This window comes from Homo sapiens, chromosome 13 (assembly GCF_000001405.40).
Source record: "Homo sapiens chromosome 13, GRCh38.p14 Primary Assembly".
NCBI classification, from domain to species: Eukaryota; Metazoa; Chordata; class Mammalia; order Primates; family Hominidae; genus Homo; species Homo sapiens.
In genome coordinates, this window is record NC_000013.11 from 110,657,112 (window position 1) to 110,677,513 (window position 20,402).

Genomic DNA, 20,402 nt, shown 5'->3' on the forward strand with positions numbered 1-20,402 from the left:
TTTTAAGATAAAACAAAAAGTTGATATGCTCTTATGTTTAGTAAGAGAGGAAAATAAAGAGCTAAAACTAAAAAGCCCTGTGATATTAAATTTTATTTGGATATATCAAAATTAACCCAAATAAGGAATCTATTTTGTATGTGCAGGTTTATCTCCCTCTCCCCTAGCTCTGACCCCTGAAAAAGCGTAGACGCAGTGTCACTCTGGTAGCAATCAACATCGCAGTGCCCAAATCTTGCCTTCAAAATCCCATTTCCCCTCAAAGGCAGGGTGGCTGCTTGGAGAAACGGCAGGTCTGGGTAGGAAAGCAAAAGGCAGGCAGGTGCAGGAGGGCACAACAGAGGCCGAGGGGTCTGTCCCTGGGGGACCGGAGCCAGTCAGAAGAGCCCTCCCTGGCTAAATCCGGGATGATTTCAACACCCAAAAGATAATGACTGAATTGACAATACACTAAATAAATATAAATCACTGACTCTGTCTACTAAAAAAAGAAAGACAAAAACACTTTTCTTTAAGAAGAATGCCAACTAATAAATGTAAAAGAGGGAACAATTAGACAACCATGACTTTGCAATAACCAATGAAATACCTGATCAAAGTGAAGCCTCTAAAACCATAGGGTGGAAGCTTATTAGGAAACAAATTACCATGCAGCATGCCACCTCTCAGATGCTTAATATTCATAAGAAGAAAATAAACTCTGCAGTAGAGGGATCTGGTAGTCATTCCTTAACAAATGGTAAAACTCACCATCATGAATCGTAGGACAACCTGACCTTGCAGCCCCCAGGGAATGCACTGTGAGTTCACAGCATCAACTACAAGGTATTCCTGCCAAAAAGCTTCTACCTGGATCAAACTGACCCTTTAACCCTCACTTCCCGTGAAACGAACTACAGGAGATAGAAGAACAAGCTAAATGACAACACAATGAAACAGACAAATCCAAAATGTGGGATGTTCAACAAGACAAGTGGCTCAATCTCTTCAAAAAGTCAACACCACAGGAAAAATAAAAGTAGAAAGACTGCTGTAGATTAGATTAGAAACCTAGAAAGAACAATGAAATATAATTCAGCCTAAAGGAAGGAAATTTTGACATGGAATAAAGGAGCACAGGTGAATCTTGAGAACACCATGCTAAGTGAAATAAGCCAGTCACAAAAGGACAATTACTATGTGAGTCCACTTACACGAGATCTAGAGCAGCCAAAATCATAGAAACAGAAAGTAGAAGGGTTGTTGCCAAGGCCTGGGGAAAGGGGAAATGGGAAGTTGTTCAGTGAGTCCACAGTTTTGGTTTTACAAGATGAAAAAATTCTAGAGATCTGTTGCATAACAATGTGAACATATTAACACTACTGAACTGTATGGTTAAGATGATAACTTTTATGTTACGTGGTTTTTTTAACCACATTAAAAAAAACCCTAAAAAGACACAACATACAAATGCAACATATGAACCTTGATCAACTCCTCGTTTAAAAATAAAAGTATAAAACACATTTTGGGGATAACTGGAGAAAACAGGCCAGGCGCAGTGACTCATGCCTGTGATCCCAGCACTTTGGGAGGCTGAGGCAGGTGGATCACCTGAGGTCAGGAGTTCCAGACCAGCCTGGCCAACATGGTGAAACCCTGTCTCTACTAAACAAAACAAAACAAAAATTAGCCAGGCATGGTGGTGTGCACCTATAATCCCAGCTACTCGGTAGGCTGAGGCAGGAGAATCATTTGAACCTGGGAGGTGGAGGTTGCAGTGAGCTGAGATCACGCCACTGTACTCCAGCCTGGGTGATAGTGAGACTAACAAAAAAACAAACAAACAAAAAAAGAAAAACAGACTACAGACTAGATAATATTAAGAAATTACTGCTAACTTTTTAGGTGTTTGGATTATGTAGGAAAGCATCCTTATTTTTAGGAGTTGGTTACAGAATAGAGAAGTGTGATGATGTCTTCAATGTATTTCCTAATGGTCAATAACAAGCATTATATACAGGTGTCCATGTGCATACATGCTCACACAAATGTGCACATGCACACACACGCTCACCACTCCCATAAACACAGATAAAGCCCCTGAAGGGTACCACAGCCTGCCAGCCCTGAATATGCCTCCCTGGCATACAGATTATTTTGAGCTAAAGACCACTGAGAACAAGCAGATGCAGGAAATGCTCTAAAAACAGGGTGCAAGTTTTCCTTGTAAACAAAGCTCCCAGTTGTAAAAGATGTATCCTGCTGTAGCAGGGTGAGGACTCCCTAACAACTCTCAATAGAGAGGCTCAATCTGCAAAACAAATTTTACTCAACAATCCTTGTTTATCACTTTTCCTAGTCACCCTCCCAAAACTTGCCTGCCCCTCCTCAAGCCCAGATCTCCTTTTTTTTTTTTGTTTGGCCTAGCATGGTTCACAGGCAGACCTCAGACATACTGAAGGGTTGGTTCCAGACCACCACAATAAAGCGAATATCACAATAAAGCAAGGCACACATATTTTCTGGTTTCCCAGTGCATATAAAAGTTATGTTTACACTATTATACTGCAGTCTATTAAGTATATAATAGCATTATGTCTGAAAGAACAATGTACGTACCTTAATGAAAAAATATTTTATTGCTAACAAAAATGATAATCATATGAGCCTTCAGTGAGTCATCTTTTTGCTGGTGGAAGGTTTTGATTCAATATTATGGCTGCTGACTGATCAAGGTAGTGGTTGATGAAGGCTGAGTTACTGTGGCAATTTCTTAAAACAAGACAATAATGAAGTCTGTGCCATCAATTGACTCTTCCTTTCATGAAAGATTTCTCTGTAGCATCCAATGTTTGATAGCATTTTACCCACGGCAGAATGTCTTTCAAAATTGGAGCCAATCCTCTCAAACCCTGCCATTGCTTTATCAACTAAATTTATGCAATAGTCTAAATCCTTTGTTGTCATTTCAACAATGTCCACAGCATCTTCACCAGGAGTAGATTCCATCTCAAGAAACCACTTTCTTTGCTCATCCATAAGAAGCAACTCCTCGTTTGTTCAACTTTTATCATGAGGTTGCAGCAGTTCAGTCACATCTCCAGGATCCATTTCCAATTCCAATAGTTCTCTTGCTATTCCCACCATATATGCAGTGACTTCCTCCAATGATGTCCTGAACCCCTCAAAGTCAACCATGAGAGTTGGACTTAACTTCTTTCAAACTCCTGTTAATGTTAATATTTTGACCTATTCCCATCAATCATACATGTTCTTACTGGCATCTAGAATGGTGAATCCTTTCCAGAAGGTTTCCAATTTACTTTGCCCAGCTCCATCAGAGGAATCACTATCTATGGCAGCTATAGCCTTATGAAATATTTTTCTTAAATAATAAGACTTAAAAGTTGAAATTATTCCTTGATCAATGGGCTGCAGAATGTTCTGTTAGCAGCATAAAAACAATATTACTCTCATTGTATGTCTCCATCAAAGCTCCTGGATGACCAGGTGCACTGTCAATATTTGGAAAGGAATCCTTTTTTCTGAGCAGTAGGTCTCAACAGTGGGCTTAAAATATTCAGTAAACCATGCTGTAAATGGATGTGCTGTCATACACGCTTTGATATTCCACGTATACAGCACAGGGAGAGTACACTTAGCATAATTCTTTTTTTTTTTTTTTTTTGAGATGGAGTCTAGCTGTCGCCCAGGCTGGAGTGCAGTGGCACAATCTCAGCTCACTGCAACCTCCGCCTCCCAGGTTCAAGTGATTCTCCTGCCTCAGCCTCCCAAGTAGCTGAGATTACAGGTGTCCACCACCACGCCCAGCTAATTTTTGTATTTTTAGTAGAGATAGGGTTTCACTGTGTTGACCAGGCTGGTCTCGAACTCCTGACCTCATGATCTGCCCACCTGGGCCTCCCAAAGTGCTGGGATTACAAACGTGAGCCACTGCACCCAGCCGATTTAGGGTAATTCTCAAGGGCCCTAGGATTTTTTGAATTGTCAATGAGCGCTGGTTTCAACTTAAAGTCACCAGCTACATTAGCCCCTAACAATAGTCAGCCTGTCCTTTGAAGCTCTGAAGCCAGCCATTGACTTCTTTCTAGCTACAAAAGTCCTAGACAGCATCTTCTTCCAATAGAAGGCAATTTCATCTACATTCGAAAGATCTGCTGTTTAGTGTGGCCACCTTCATCACTTATTTTAGCTAGGTCTTCTTTCCTTCAACCTCACAAACCAACCCCTGCTAGCTTCCAACTTTTCTTTGCAGCTTTCTCATCTCTCTCAGCCTTCATAGAACTGAAGAAAGTTAGGGCCTTGTTCCAGATTAGGCTGTGGCTTACAGGAATGTTGTGGCTGGTTTGATCTTCTCTATCCAGACCACTCAAACTTTCTCCATTATCAGCAATAAGGTTGTTTTGCTTGCTAATCATTCGTGTGTTCGCTGGAATAGCACTTTTGATTTCCTTCAAGAACTTTTCCTTTGCATTCACAACTTAGCTAAATATTTGGTGCAAGAGGCTTAGCTTTCAGCCTGTCTCAGCTTTTGACATACCCTCCTCATTAAGCTTAAGCATTTCTAGCTTTTGATGGAAAGTGAGAGATGTGTGACTCTTCCTTTCACTTGAACACTTAGAGGCCACTGTAGGGCTAGTAACTGGCCTAATTTCAATAATGTTGTGTCTCAGGGAATAGGGGAGTCCAAGGAGGGGCAGATTTAAAGGAATGGACAGTTGGTGGAGCAGTCAGAACATGCACAACACATACTAAGTTCTGTCTTCCATGGATGTGGTTCATGGAGCCCGAAAACAATTACAACAGTAACATCAGAGATCACTGACCACAGATCACCATAACAGATTTAATAATGAGAAACTTTGAAATATTGCAAGAATTACCCAAACATGACACACAGAAAGGAAGTGAGAACATGCTGTTGGCAAAATTGTGCCAACAGATTTGCTTGGTGCAGGGCTGCCACAAACCTTCAATCTGTAAAGACACAGCATCTGCGAAGTGCGGTCAAGTGAAGCTCAATAAAGCAAGGTCCCTGCAGTGGCCGGGCTCCGACCCACTCTGCACCATGCAACCCCATGGTCGGGTTCGGACCCCCTCTGCGTCATGCAACCCCACGGCCGGGTTCGGACCTCTCTCTGCGTCATGCAACCCCGTGGCCGGGCTCCGACCCCCCTCTGCGTCATGCAACCCCATGGCCGGCTTCGGACCCCCTTCTGCGTCATGCAACCCCATGGCCAGGCTCCGACCCCACTGCATACCATGCAACCCCGTGGCTGGGTTTGGACCCCCTCTGCGTCATGCAACCCCGTGGCCCCGGGCTCCAACCTTCCTCTGTGTCATGCAACCCTGTGCTCCACCTCCACGTGTGCCGTGCACGCTCTAACACATTTCTCTTTGTTTTTCTCTTGCTAATCTGTCTTTGGCCAGAGTCTAATTTACCAATTTAATTGAGGCTCCCCGGTGGGAGAATCTAAGCTGGGTAGGCGAAAAAGATCCTACACAGCAAATACAGCAAAATCATCACAACTACTGAATCTGGGTGGAGCCATAGTGATGTTTCTTTCAACTTTTCTATCGGTTTGAAATTTTGCCTAGGATAAAACGGAAAAATTCTACTTAAGGAAACTATATACAAATTATTTTGTGAGGAGCAGTCCCTGTTGGTGTATCCTAAATCTGATGGGTACAGCTTTCACTGGTTTGCTATTTAGGCGGTGAGATCTGGATACTATTCTTCTCCATTTATTTTGCAATTAAATTAAATCTGGCTTTAAAGACAGGCCAGAAGACAAAGGAGGAGTTCAAACTATGTCAGCCAGAGCCCTCCGTGGGTGTGCCTGTTTTCCATTCACACGAAAATTCACATTCCATGTGTCAGCAGCATAGCATGATGCCATTTTTCAGGTTGGTTAAGGATCCAGCCAGCTCTGAGCCTATTAAGGGCAAACAGCAAAACCTAAACAAATCCCAAAGCCACACCAGTAAGAGGTGGTGGGTGAGGGCGGGAAGGAAGTCAGCAGATGCACCAAGAGGGAGACAACAATTATAAAAGGAAAAGGCAAGGAAGAGGGCGCCGGCCTTGAAACACGGAAAGAGAAAGGGAAGCTCCACCAAGAAAGGGACTGCGGAAACCTGCGGGAGGCGCACAGCTGAGGGCGCGATTAGGCGGAGAGCCACTTAAAGTGGGAGGGAGGTGAGGCAGGTCTCGTCATAAGAAAGGGGCCAGAGGGCACTGGGAATGGGATTCCGTGGTTCTCAAATGACACAGAAGCCTTTAAGATGGGTTCCACAAGCTATCGGCACCTCAGAGATACAATACAAAAAGCACGTTACCTTAATAGTAATGTAGTTCTTTAATGATTTGGACATTTTTTCTTCTTTGCCTTTGGCGTGCAAATGCCCTGAAACAAAAACAAAAGCATTCAGTCTGAGCTGGGTGAGGAGACTCTCTGGCCTCAGGGACACATGGCTCCCCAGGAAACGAATGGGAACCTGCACATATCCAATGTATAGACCAGTGTATGTTGGTATAAATCTGCCCCCAAATCTTCACCCGTGCTGGGCCTTCCGGGAAGACAGGACCTGCCCTTGTTCCACGGTGCAGGGACACCCAGCCCCACACTGAGAGCAGATGGCAGGGGTGCCCCAGCTGACTCAGAAGCTAAACAAGAGCCAGCAACCGTGGTACTGACAGCAGTATTTCATCTATTTTCTCCTCTCCTGTAATTCAGAGATACTGAATTCAGATACTGGTCAGCATCTGAAGAAACGACAAAGCTCTCATTTGACAAATCAGGCACTTGGCGGTGAAGCTTGTTGACCGTTGTCCAAAAACAGAGTGGCACTTGTGGGTCTCTGAGTGGGAAGAATCAGAGGTCCTGTTGCAGTTGGTTTCACAGACTTTGATGACCTGGGTATTATTTCATCCCCTATGTATGTGAAAGACAGGAGGAAAACCAAACTCATTTAAGGAACTCCTGAATCTGACCCTGAAATTCTCCCTGGCCTGTAGCTTTTTACAAGGCTTATCTCCAAGAGAAGGGCTTTCTGTTTCTAACAGAAGACTCTTCCTCTTTTTCTGACACAACTTCAAACAGGAGTCCTCCAGGCCGGACGCAGTGGCTCACACCCGTAATACCAGCCCTTTGGGAGGCTAAGGTGGAAGGACCGCTTGAGCCCAGGAGTTTGGAGACCAGTCTGGGCAACATGGCAACACCCGGTCTCTACAAAAAAAATTAAAAATTAGCTGGGCGTGGTGGGGCACACCTGCAGTCCCAACATCCCAACAACTCAGGAGACTGAGGTGGGAGGATCGCTTGAGCCCAGGAGGTTGGGCCTAGAGTGAGCTATGTTCATGTCACTGCACTCCAGCCTGGGCCACAGAGCGAGACTCTGCCTCAAAAATAAATAAATAAATACACCAACCAACCAACCAATTAGAATGTGATTTCCAAAAAACATATATAACTTTGAACATGTAATTCTATATAATGTGATTACACCAAGCACGATTCTGATTTTTTAAAATTGATGATAGTTGGAAAATAAAACACATTTGCTAAGGCCTGAATGTTTATGTCCTCCCAAATTCCTGTCAAAATCCTCAGCCCTCAGGTGACGGTAACTGAAGGCAGGGCCTGTGGGAGGTGATGAGGTCACAGGGGCAGAGCCAGTGTGAATGGAATCAGTGCTCTCATAACAGAGGCCCCTCGAGAGCTGACGGCCGTCTACAAATGGGAAGCAGGCCCTCCCGAGACACCGAGTCTGCCAGTGCGCTGACGCAGGACTCCCAGCCAGCAGAACTGTGAGGAATTCATTGCTGTTGTTCATAACACGCCCGCTTTCAGTTTGGCTATAGCAGCCCTAACAGGCTGGGATAGTGTCTGCCCACTTAGCTCTTCCATCCACTGGGTACAGGAGAACAGGTGTCACTTCTCCTGCGTCAGGAGACACTGATGTTTTGTTTGGGGCCAAACTAGTATGAAAAAGATCGCTGGTATCTTAACAGGTAGTAAAAAATCACTGAAAAATAGCCACAAAACTTTCCCACCACGTGCAGTGGCTCACGCCTATAATCCCAGCACTTTGGGAGGCAGAGGTGGCAGATCACTTGAGGTCAGGGGTTTGAGCCCAGCCTGGCCAACATGGTGAAACCCTGCTTCTACTAAAAATACAAAAATTAGCTGGGTATGGTGGTATGCACCTGTAGTCGCAGCTACTAGAACAGCTGAGGCAGGAGAATTGCTTGAACCCAGGAGGCAGAGGTTGCGGTGAGCTCAGATAGTGCCACTGCACTCCCAGGCTGGGGGACGGAGCGAAATTGTTTCAACAACAACAGCAAATGCTTTCCCATTCCCACATCGGAAGGTGAACACGACCTCCGTTTCTAGACCCGGCCCCTCCTCATTACCTGACAGGACGAAGCGTTGGCACAGCTAAGGCTGCCCTTCTTGCCCCCCAGCTCCACACTCGCAGAAGGGCTCACAGCAGGTCATGGTTGTCAGTAACAAACCCTGACCTACTGAACAGGATAAACCTGCAGACAGAAACGTGCCTGCGGAGGGAGCAACTCCAGCTCCTCAGACAGTTCAGGGAGCGCTGAACTGAGCCCTGAACGAAGTCAACGAGGAAGTGACTTCGGGGCAATCAGCCTCATCTATTTACTTTCATGAAGAAACCCAAGTGAACCCTGCTGCGGACCAGAAAACCGGAGCACTTCTGCATTTAATGTCACCTTACTGTGACATCTTAATTTCCCAATTCAAGGGTTTCAAAAACTAGTATTTGTTAATTTCCTGTATTTCAGATGTCAAAGTTTGCATCTCCAAATCTATCACTACCAAACACTCTTTATCTTTCTTCATCTGGGACAAGGGACACGACTACCTCTGTGCCTGAGACACAGTGTCTCAGCCCCACTATCTGGGCTCCCAGCACGCTTCCTCTCCAAGAACACAATTCAGAAGTCCTTGGGCCACGGAAGAGAGACCTCCTTCCCCATGGTCAAAAGTGGAGTGCAGGCCCCCGGCTGTGGAAATCAGTGCTCGGCTCCCTGAGGGGCGATGCCTTAAATATTCCACCACTGGGCAGCGTGCACCCCCTTCCCATGTGAGCGCCAGCTGAAACGGAAGTGAGGGCGGCAGGCGTTTGTTCTGATTAGAAACTCCACCGACACCGGAATAAAGTGGATTTCAGCTAGTGCTGAGCCCTCCCCAGGGAAATGGTATGGGGTGCTGGACAACAGCTCCTAAGTCCTCAAACAGCCACGCAGCCAGCTTTGTTTCTGCTTCATTTTTAGACAAAAACTGGGGCACTGTGAGAGGCAGACATAGTAGGTAATGGTAGGGGCAGAGCCGCCTGCTGGGTTCCCCGACTCAACAGGGTAAGCCCGGGGTGAAGGACATGCTGCAGGAAGTGACTTCGGGGCAATCAGCCTCATGTACTTTCACGAAGAAACCCAAGTGAACTCTGCTGCGGACCAGAAAACCAGAGCACTTCTGCACTTAATGTCACTTTACTGTGACATCCTAATTTCCCAATTCAAGGACTTCAAAAGATAGTATTTGTTAATTTTCTGTATTTTAGATGTCGAAGTTTGCATCTCCAAATCCTATCACTACCAAACACTCTTTATCTTTCTTCATCTCAAATACCTTAGCTGTCCATCCCCAAAAGGTAATAAGACTAGTTAATCGTGACCCTGTAAACTTGGAAATACGACTCTTCCAGTGCATCCAAGTGAATTCCAAAACTGCTGGGTTCGAGGTGTTGCTTAACTCATGGTGTTGCATCCACTTCTGAGAGCAGACAGCTGGGGTTCATCAGTTAGGTGTTTGAACAGTGGAAGAAAGGGCAATGTTATTAGAAGATGGCAGAGATGTCTAGTGACAACATTATAGCTTCAGAAAGGATGTTCATAATTATCGTTACATTGTACTACTTCAAGTTCCTTCTTAATAGTTTTACTTGAAAGAAACCTTATATAGAACAGCATTGCCAAACATTTTCCATATTCTAGTCAGTTCCAAAAAGGTATAATCATTGCTGCAATCCAAGGAAGCTCATGTTCAAATGATTGAAACTCAAAAATAATTTAAGAGGCAAATCCATTTCTTGACCTATTAGCTGATCTACTATGTATTTCCAAATGTAGCTGTTCCGCCGACAAAGACAGAACTGCTAGAATTGAAACAGAACAAATTAATCTGAAGTTATTACTTACCAGAATGCAGAAAATAATTTCCCCACTGCTCGCACTGATGAAAGACTTCGCACTGTGCAATTTCGTTTTCATGATGTGGAAAAGCTAAATCTATCCCACCTGAATGGATATCCAGTTGACTTCCAAATACCATACTGCAAGACACAGTGCAAAGTAGTGAATTCATTCAATCAAGCAACATATTTTCTTCTAACCTCGTCTATTTATTCCTTCCAGCCTTTTTAATTCAATGAATAAATGGATCTCAGTTTTGCATCAATTTGCATGATAATTTAACTGATTCAAATGAAAACTGAAATCCTGTCATCACAAGCCCGTAATTCATGACTTTTCATCCTAGTAAAGGCACTTAATTCTTTTTGCTCCAGGTTCTTTTTTTCTCTTTTTCTTTCTTTCTTTTTCAACTCAAAAAATTACCTTTACTTACTTTCAATAGGTAGAGTTTAGTGGTTTTCCAATTTTAACAAGAGATGGAACTATAAAATCATGACAGTGTTTCATTTGGCTTTTGCAAGTGTAACTAACAGTCACCTACGAATAACAAGGTAAGAGAGTTCAAAGCAACACAGGTTGCCATTTCTCCTACAGTGCTGTGCCATGCCTCCATAAAAACCGCGTTTCTGCAAACCCATACAAAAAAATTAATGGGGTTGATGGGGGAAATGAGGCTGGGCCAGCCCACTCGAAGCTCTGTCCCTGGACCAGCTGCAGAAGCATGGCGACGCAGCAGGCCGGTGGATTTTCTTAAAATGATAGATAGAGAAATTTCTAAGGTGCCAACACCTCGCAGAGGTCCTTCCTGCTCCCACTGGTCTGGTTCCCTGTGCTCGGGGAAGCACTGCACACGGAGGTCTCGAGCCTGGGGAAACAGGCATCACAGAAACACACGCTGTAGTGTGACGTTCTAAGACTTTTACATCTTAGCCGGGCGCGGTGGCTCACGCCTGTAAACACAGCACTTTGGGAGGCTGAGGCAGGCGGATCACAAGGTCAGGAGATCGAGACCATCCTGGCTAACATGGTGAAACCCCGTCTCCACTAAAATACAAAAAATCAGCCGGGCGTGGTGGCGGGTGCCTGTAGTCCCAGCTGCTTGGGAGGCTGAGGCAAGAGAATGGCATGAACCCGGGAGGCGGAGCTTGCAGTGAGCCGAGATCGCGCCACTGCACTCCAGCCTGGGTGACAGAGCGAGACTCCGTCTCAAAAAAAAAAAAAGATTTTTACATCTTAGTGACGGGTCGTCTTAGGGTAACTCTAACATTCCCTGCAGTTCAAATGCTGTGAAGGAGACTGTGGGACCAGGAGTGGGGAGGGGATGGGAGGGGCCTCATTTGTATTTGGATGGGCAATTCTCCCTTCCGAAGATCTGAAGCCAACACAACGACGTGAAAGTTTCACAAGCTGAACTATGGGGCCACAACCTTCACTATGTTAGTTTCGCTCCTGATCTCTACGTTACACCTATTTTAAAATCAGAGAAGGCTCAGAAGGAACAACAATAATGGTCTCTTCATTATTTAATCTTTCAACAAAAATAAGAATTTCACATAACATTACATTTGAAACTCACTAAATGTTTTCTACCTGCTTTAGAGAAATTATTTGAATCTAAAAAATGAATCTACAACCCAGTTTATATGCCATAGTCTGCTATTAAGTATTGATAAACACATAGAAGTAAAGTGTGACTGGTGACTGGACATTTTTACTTTTTTTTCATCAAAAGTCAGGCCCATGCTTCCTACTAACAACAGGGTTTGAGGTCTGAGGAATGACGGAAGCGTTTCCAGATGAGCCGCATAACCACAGTGCAAGTGGTGGGGGCTTAGCAGAAAAGGGAATCTCTTTCTGGGTCTTGAAGAAGATCCACCAAAATTTAGATAGGCAGGTCGTGGGGGACAAGGCCTTCCCTCCTGGTGGAATGGGGCGACCCTACTCGGCGCTGAATACTCAAGCTGTCTGGGAGTCCATGAATGGAGCAGAGTCCTCGTGTGGGAGATAATTATCTCCACCCAAACCCCCTCTACACCCAGCCAGGAAACACATCCTGGATACAAAGCCCACAGGTTTCGAGGTGACTGGATTTATCCATCTGAAAATCTCTGATGTAGCTACTAGCTTAAAATGTTTACCTTAATCATCCTTTCCTGTGTTTCTAATTTTTTAAAACTGTTTATTAAAATAAATATTTGCTATCAAGTATACTAAAATCCATGAGTTAACAGTGATTTTTTTAAAACCCATTTCTGGTGCCGTTTCCAAGATGGCCGAATAGGAACAGCTCCAGTCTACAGCTCCCAGCATGAGCGACGCAGAAGACGGGTGATTTCTGCATTTCCAACTGAGGTACTGGCTTCATCTCACTGGGGCTCGTCAGACAGTGGGTGCAGCTCACGGAGTGTGAGCCGAAGCAGGGTGGGGCATCGCCTCACCTGTGAAGTGTGAGGGGTCGGGGAATTCCCTTTCCTAGCCAAGGGAAGCTGTGACAGACGGTACCTGGAAAATCAGGACACTCCCACCCTAATACTGTGCTTTTCCAATGGTCTTAGCAAACGGCACACCAGGAGATTATATCCTGCGCCTGGCTCGGAGGGTCCCACGCCCACGGAGCCTCGCTCACTGCTAGCACAGCAGTCTGAGATGAACTGCAAGGCGGCAGCGAGGCTGGGGGAGGGGCATCTGCCATTGCTGAGGCTTGAGTAGGTAAACAAAGTGTCCAGGAAGCTCGAACTGGGTGGAGCCCACTACAGCTCAAGGAGGCCTGCCCACCTCTGTAGACTCCACCTCTGGGGACAGGGCATAGCTGAACAAAAGGCAGCAGAAACTTCTGCAGACTTAAACGTTCCTGACTGACAGCTTTGAAGAGTAGTGGTTCTCCCAGCACGGAGTTTGAGATCTGAGAACGGACAGACTGCCTCCTCAAGTGGGTCCCTGATCCCCGAGTAGACCAACTGGGAGACACCTCCCAGTAGGGGCTGACTGACACCTCATACAGCCAGGTGCCCTCTGAGACGAAGCTTCCAGAGGAAGGATCATGCAGCAACATTTGCCGTTCTGCAATATTTGCTGTTCTGCAGCCTCTGCTGGTGATACCCAGGCAAACAGGGTCTGGAGTGGACCTCCAGCAAACTCAACAGACCTGCAGCTGAGGGTCCTGACTGTTAGAAGGAAAACTAACAAACAGAAAGGACATCCACACCAAAACCCCATCTGTATGTCACCACCATCAAAGACCAAAGGTAGACAAAAACCACAAAGATGGGGAGAAACCAGAGCAGAAAAGCTGAAAATTCTAAAAATCAGAGCGCCTCTTCTCCTCCAAAGAAACGCAGCTCCTCACCAGCAATGGAACAAAGCTGGACAGAGAATGACTTTGATGAGTTGAGAGAAGAAGGCTTCAGACGATCGGTAATAACAAACTTCTCCGAGCTAAAGGAGGATGTTTGAACCCATCATAAAGAAGCTAAAAACCTTCAAAAAAGATTAGACGAATGGCTAACCAGAATAAACAGCATAGACAAGACCTTAAATGACCTGATGGAGCTGAAAACCATGGCACAACAACTATGTGATGCATGCACAAGCTTCAGTAGCCGATTTGATCAAGTGGAAGAAAGGGTATCAGTGATTGAAGATCAAATGAATGAAATGAAGCAGGAAGAGAAGTTTAGAGAAAAAAGAGTAAAAAGAAATGAACAAAGCCTCCGAGAAATATGGGACTATGTGAAAAGACCAAATCTGCGTCTGATTGGTGTACCTGAAAGTGACAGGGAGAATGGAACCAAGTTGGAAAACACTCTTCAGGATATTATCCAGGAGAACTTCCCCAACCTGACAAGGCAGGCCAACATTCACATTCAGAAAATACAGAGAACGCCACAGAGATACTCCTCGAGAAGAGCAACTCCATGACACATAATTGTCAGATTCACCAAAGTTGAAATGAAGGAAAAAATGTTAAGGGCAGCCAGAGAGAAAGGTCGGGTTACCCACAAAGGGAAGCCCATCAGACTAACAGCAGATCTCCTGGCAGAACCTCTATAAGCCAGAAGAGAGTGGGGGCCAATATTCAACGTTCTTAAAGAAAAGAATTTTTAACCCAGAATTTCATATCCAGCCAAACTAAGATTCATAGGTGAAGGAGAAATAAAATCCTTTACAGACAAGCAAATGCTGAGAGATGTTGTCACCACCAGGCCTGCCTTACAAGAGCTCCTGAAGGAAGCACTAAACATGGAAAGGAACAACCAGTACCAGCCACTGCAAAAACATGCCGAATTGTAAAGACCGTCAAGGCTAGGAAGAAACTGCATCAACTAACGAGCAAAATAACCAGCTAACATCATAATGACAGGATCAAATTCACGCATAACAATATTAACCTTAAATGTAAATGGGCTAAATGCTCCACTTAAAAGATACAGACTGGCAAATTGGATGAAGAGTCAAGACCCATCAGTGTGCTGTATTCAGGAGACCCATCTCACGTGCAGAGACACACACAGGCTCAAAATAAAGGGATGAAGGGAGATCTACCAAACAAAAGGAAAACAAAAAAAAGCAGGGGTTGCAAACCTAGTGTCTGATAAAACAGACTTTAAACCAACAAAGATCAAAAGAGACAAAGAAGGCCATTACATAATGGTAAAGGGATCAATTCAACAAGAAGAACTAACTATCCTAAATATATATGCACCTAATACAGGAGCACCCAGATTCATAAAGCAAGTCCTTAGAGACCTACAAAGAGACTTAGACTCCCACACAATAATAATGGGAGACTTTAACACCCCACTGTCAACATTAGACAGATCAATGAGACAGAAAGTTAACGAGGATATCCAGGAATTGAACTCAGATCTGCACCAAGCGGACCTAATAGACATCTACAGAACTCTCCACCCCAAATCAACAGAATATACATTCTTCTCAGCACCACATCGCACTTATTCCAAAATGGACCACATATTTGGAAGTAAAGCACTCCTCAGCAAATGTAAAAGAACAGAAATTGTAACAAACTGTCTCTCAGACCACAGTGCAATCAAACTAGAACTCAGGATTAAGAAACTCACTCAAAACCTCTCAACTACATGGAAACTGAACAACCTGCTCCTGAATGACTACTGGGTACATAATGAAATGAAGGCAGCAGTAAAGACGTTCTTTGAAACCAATAAGAACAAAGACACAACATACCAGAATCTCTGGGACACATTTAAAGCAGTGTGTAGAGGGAAATTTATAGCACTAAATGCCCACAAGAGAAAGCAGGAAAGATCTAAAACTAACACCCTAACATCACAATTAAAAGAACTAGAGAAGCAAGAGCAAACACATTCAAAAGCTAGCAGAAGGCAAGAAATAACTAAGATCAGAGCAGAACTGAAGGAGATAGAGACACAAAAAACCCTTCAAAAAATCAATGAATCCAGGAGCTGGTTTTTTGAAAAGATCAACAAAATTGATAGACCGCTAGCAAGACTAATAAAGAAGACAAGGGAGAAGAATCAAATAGACACAACAAAAAATGATAAAGGGGATATCACCACCGATCCCACAGAAATACAAACTACCATCAGAGAATACTATAAACACCTCTATGCAAATAAACTAGAAAATCTAGAAGAAATGGATAAATTCCTGGACACATACACCCTCCCAAGACTAAACCAGGAAGAAGTTGAGTCCCTGAATAGACCAATAACAGGCTCTGAAATTAAGGCAATAATTAATAGCCTACCAACCAGAAAAAGTCCAGGACCAGAAGGATTCACAGCCAAATTCTACCAGAGGTACAAGGAGGAGCTGGTACCATTCCTTCTGAAATTATTACAATCAACAGAAAACAAGGGAATCCTCCCTCATTTTAAGAGGCCAGCATCATCCTGATACCAAAACCTGGCAGAGACACAACAAAAAAGGAGAATTTTAGACCAATAGCCCTGATGAACATCGATGCAAAAATCCTCAATAAAATACTGGCAAACCGAATCCAGCAGCACATCAAAAAGCTTATCCACCACGATCAAGTGGGCTTCATCCCTGGGATGCAAGGCTGGTTCAACATACACAAATCAATAAACGTAATCCATCACATAAACAGAACCAAAGACAAAAACCACATGATTATCTCAATAGATGCAGAAAAGGCCTTTTGACAAAATTCAACAGCCCTTCATGCTAAAAAGTCTCAATAAACTAGGTATTGATGGGGCGTATCTCAAAATAATAAGAGCTATTTATGACAAACCCACAGCCAATATCATACTGAATGGGCAAAAACTGGAAGCATTCCCTTTGAAAACTGGCACAAGACAGGGATGCCCTCTCTCACCACTCCTATTTAACATAGTGTTGGAAGTTCTGGCCAGGGCAATCAGGCAGGAGAAAGAAATAAAGGGTATTCAATTAGGAAAAGAAGAAGTCAAATTGTCCCTGTTTGCAGATGACATGATTGTATATTTAGAAAACCCCATCATCTCAGCCCAAAATCTCCTTAAGCTGATAAGCAACTTCAGCAAAGTCTCAGGATACAAAATCAATGTGCAAAAATCACAAGCATTCCTGTACACCAATAACAGACAGGGAGCCAAATCATGAGTGAACTCCCATTCACAATTGCTTCAAAGAGAATAAAATACCTAGGAATCCAACTTACAAGGGATGTGAAGGACCTCTTCAAGGAGAACTACAAACCACTGCTCAATGAAATATAAGAGGACACAAACAAATGGAAGAACATTCCATGCTCATGGATAGGAAGAATCAATATCGTGAAAATGGCCATACTGCCCAAGGTAACTTATAGATTCAATGCCATCCCTATCAAGCTACCAATGACTTTTCTCACAGAATTGGAAAAAACTACTTTAAAGTTCATATGGTTTAAAGTTCAAAAAAGAGCCTGCACTGCCAAGACAATCCTAAGCCAAAAGAACAAAGCTGGAGGCATCATGCTACCTGACTTCAAACTATACTACAAGGCTACAGTAACCAAAACAGCATGGTACTGGTACCAAAACAGAGATATAGACCAATGGAACAGAACAGAGCCCTCAGAAATAATACCACACATCTACAACCATCTGATCTTGACAAACCTGACAAAAAAAGAAATGGGGAAAGGATTCCCTATTTAATAAACAATGCTGGGAAAACTAGCTAGCCATATGTAGAAAGCTGAAACTGGATCCCTATCCTTACACAAAATTAATTCAAGATGGATTAAAGACTGAAATGTTAGACCTAAAACCATAAAAACCCTAGAAGAAAACGCAGGCAATACCATTCAGGCCATAGGCATGGGCAAGGACTTCATGACTAAAACACCAAAAGCAATGGCAACAAAAGCCAGAATTGACAAATGGGATCTAATTAAACTAAAGAGCTTCTGCATAGCAAAAGAAACAACCATCAGAGTGAACAGGCAACCTACAGAATGGGAGAAAATTTTCACCATCTACCCATCTGACAAAGGGCTAATATCCAGAATCTACAAAGAACTTAAACAAATTTACAAGAAAAAATCAAACAACCCCATCAAAAAGTGGGCGAAGGATATGAACAGACACTTCTCAAAAGAAGACATTTATGCAGCCAACAGACACATGAAAAAATGCTCATCATCACTGGCCATCAGAGAAATGCAAATCAAAACCACAATGAAATACCATCTCACACCAGTTTGAATGGCAATCATTAAAACTCAGGAAACAACAGGTGCTGGAGAGGATGTGGAGAAATAGGAACACTTTTACACTGTTGGTGGGACTGTAAACTAGTTCAACCATTGTGCAAGACAGTGTGGCGATTCCTCAGGGATCTAGAACTAGAAATACCATTTGACCCAGCCATCCCATTACTGGATATATACCCAAAGGATTATAAATCATGCTGCTATAAAGACACATGCACACGTATGTTTATTGTGGCACTATTCACAATAGCAAAGACTTGGAACCAACCCAAATGTCCACCAATGATAGACTGGATTAAGAAAATGTGGCATATATACACCATGGAATACTATGTAGCCATAAAAAAGGATGAGTTCATGTCCTTTGTAGGCACATGGATGAAGCTGGAAACCATCATTCTGAGCAAACTATCACAAGGACAGAAAACCAAACACTGCATGTTCTCACTCATAGGTAGGAATTGAACAATGAGAACACTTGGACACAGGGTGGGGAACATCACACACCAGGGCCTGTCATGGGGTGGGGGAGTGGGGAGGGATAGCATTAGGAGATATACCTAACGTAGATGAGGAGTTAATGGGTGCAGCACACCAACATGGCACATGTATACAGATGTAACAAACCTGCACATTGTGCACATGTACCCTAGAAGTTAAAATATAATGAAAAAAAAAACCCATTTCTACAAATAGGAAACATACGCGTGGTTATTCACTAAGGAGATCTGTAACACTGAAACGCTAGGAACAGTCTAAACGCGCGGCTGGGTACCCTGCTGCCTGCAGAGGGTCAGGCCACACAAACCAGCACCACGGTAACAAACTAACCGTGGGCCAGGCGCAGTGGCTCACACCTGTAATCCCAGCACTTTGGGAGGCCAAGGCGGGCGGATTACCTGAGGTCAGGAGATCGAGACCAGCCTGACCAGCAGGGAGAAATCCCGTCTCTACTAAAAATACAAAATTAGCCGGGGTGGTGGCGCATGCCAGTAATCCCAGCTACTCAGGAGGATGAGGCAGGAGAATCGCTTGAACCTGGGAGGCGGAGGTTGCGGTGAGCCGAGATCGCACCATTGCACTCCAACCTGGGCAAGAAGAGTGAACCTCCGTCTCAAAACAAAAAAACAGGAACATGAAACTAACTGTGGCGAGCCCCATGGGCAGCTGTGCAGCACGGGGCACGGGCGGTATGCTGTCTTTCACACACCCCACCCAAGGTGCCCCTGGCTGTGGGCAGAGCCACAGGGTGTGGACACCTCAGGTGCGTCCAAGGGGACCAGGGAGAAGGCGGAGAAAGCTCTACTGAGAGGCAGAAACCAGGACAGAGAGGGTGTTTCCAGAGTAGGGGATGCCGCAGTGGGCCAGGAGAGCAGTGTCGTGTGACTGAGTGGGGGCGGCAGGCAGCTGCGGTCCCAGGCAGACAGTGGGAAGAGGAGCTTTGGTGACAGAGGACCCACATGAGGGTGGCTGGGGGACTCCAGGAAGATCTGGGAGGAGCTGGAGATTTCCGCCACAGAGCACCCTGGCATGCGAGTTGCCTGAGCTAGAAGAGCTGGCGGGAAGGCGGAGAGGGATTTGGGGGCTAGAGAAGTGCGAAGCGAGGAGGGATGTAGGTGCAAGCACTCTCCTCCAGGGCCCCAAGCACCAGCCACTACAGAGAAGGGTGAGGGAACAGGGCAGCTGCAAGTGTGAACCAAAAAGCAGCCTCTCCACTAAACAGAGGAAGTGCTGAGGTCAGGAAAGCTTGATGTGTCATGGGTTTCGTTCACCCCGTTCCATGGCCCGTCACACTCCGGCAAAAATCTCTTCCCAAAAAATCACCCATGGGCACACGTGCCAGGCTGCACCTGCTCCCATGCACATCCTCTGCTGCCCTGAGCAGGCACCAGGGGAACTTGAGCCCCAACCCCCAGGAAGCGGCAGGCACCTTACCTAGCGATGGCAGAGCACTCGATGTGCCAGCCCGGCCTCCCGGGTCCCCAGGGAGAGGCCCAGAACACCTCCTGGGGTTTGGCCGCCTTCCACAGGGCGAAGTCACTGGCATGACGCTTGTCAGAGTCCGCTGCAGATGACAAACGGTACATCAGTGGGAAGAAGCTCAGTCACCCCACCACGGATGCTCAGACATTCACCCCCACCACAGAAACCCAGACAGTCACCCCCACCATGGAAACACAGAAAATCACCCCAACATGGAAACCCAGACAGTCACCCCCACCACAGAGACCCAGTCACCCCCACCACGGAAACACAGAAAATCACCCCAACATGGAAACTCAGACAGTCACCCCCACCACGGGGACCCAGTCACCCCCACCACGGAAACACAGAAAATCACCCCACCATGGAAACCCAGACAGTCACCCTTACCACGGAAACCCAATCACCCCCACCATGGAAACACAATCACCCCACCACGGACACGCAGACAGTCACCCCACCACAGAAACTCAGTCACCCCCACCAGGGAGA

The 20,402-nt window shown here is 45.0% G+C and overlaps 1 protein-coding gene across 15 annotated transcripts in view, besides 2 other annotated features; it reads right to left on the reverse strand.

The window, feature by feature from the left end:
- CARS2 (cysteinyl-tRNA synthetase 2, mitochondrial) overlaps positions 1-20,402 on the reverse strand; it is a 72,113-nt gene that overhangs the window by 15,702 nt on the left and 36,009 nt on the right. For 11 of the 15 annotated variants that reach the window (NR_147941.1, XR_001749667.3, XM_006719953.4 and 8 more), the window contains 3 exons: positions 19,863-19,992; positions 10,229-10,362; positions 6,340-6,407 (listed from right to left, as the gene is read on the reverse strand). Coding sequence is in view for 11 of the 15 variants with exons in the window: in XM_006719953.4 (XP_006720016.1) it covers positions 6,340-6,407; positions 10,229-10,362; positions 19,863-19,992 (332 nt within the window). In the remaining 4 variants the exon portion in view is untranslated. Of the gene's footprint in view, positions 1-6,339; positions 6,936-8,416; positions 9,818-10,228; positions 10,363-19,862; positions 19,993-20,402 lie in introns of those variants that run through there. The other 4 variants (NR_147942.2, XR_007063696.1, XM_011521118.4 and 1 more) reach the window with 4 other exon arrangements.
- Positions 1,397-1,506: an enhancer, noted in NCBI's record as "active region_8006". NCBI's record gives its function as "activates an Ori minimal core promoter by ATAC-STARR-seq in GM12878 lymphoblastoid cells {active_cell/tissue: GM12878}" and the evidence as "EXISTENCE:reporter gene assay evidence [ECO:0000049][PMID:35858748]".
- Positions 18,941-19,560: an enhancer, noted in NCBI's record as "active region_8007". NCBI's record gives its function as "activates an Ori minimal core promoter by ATAC-STARR-seq in GM12878 lymphoblastoid cells {active_cell/tissue: GM12878}" and the evidence as "EXISTENCE:reporter gene assay evidence [ECO:0000049][PMID:35858748]".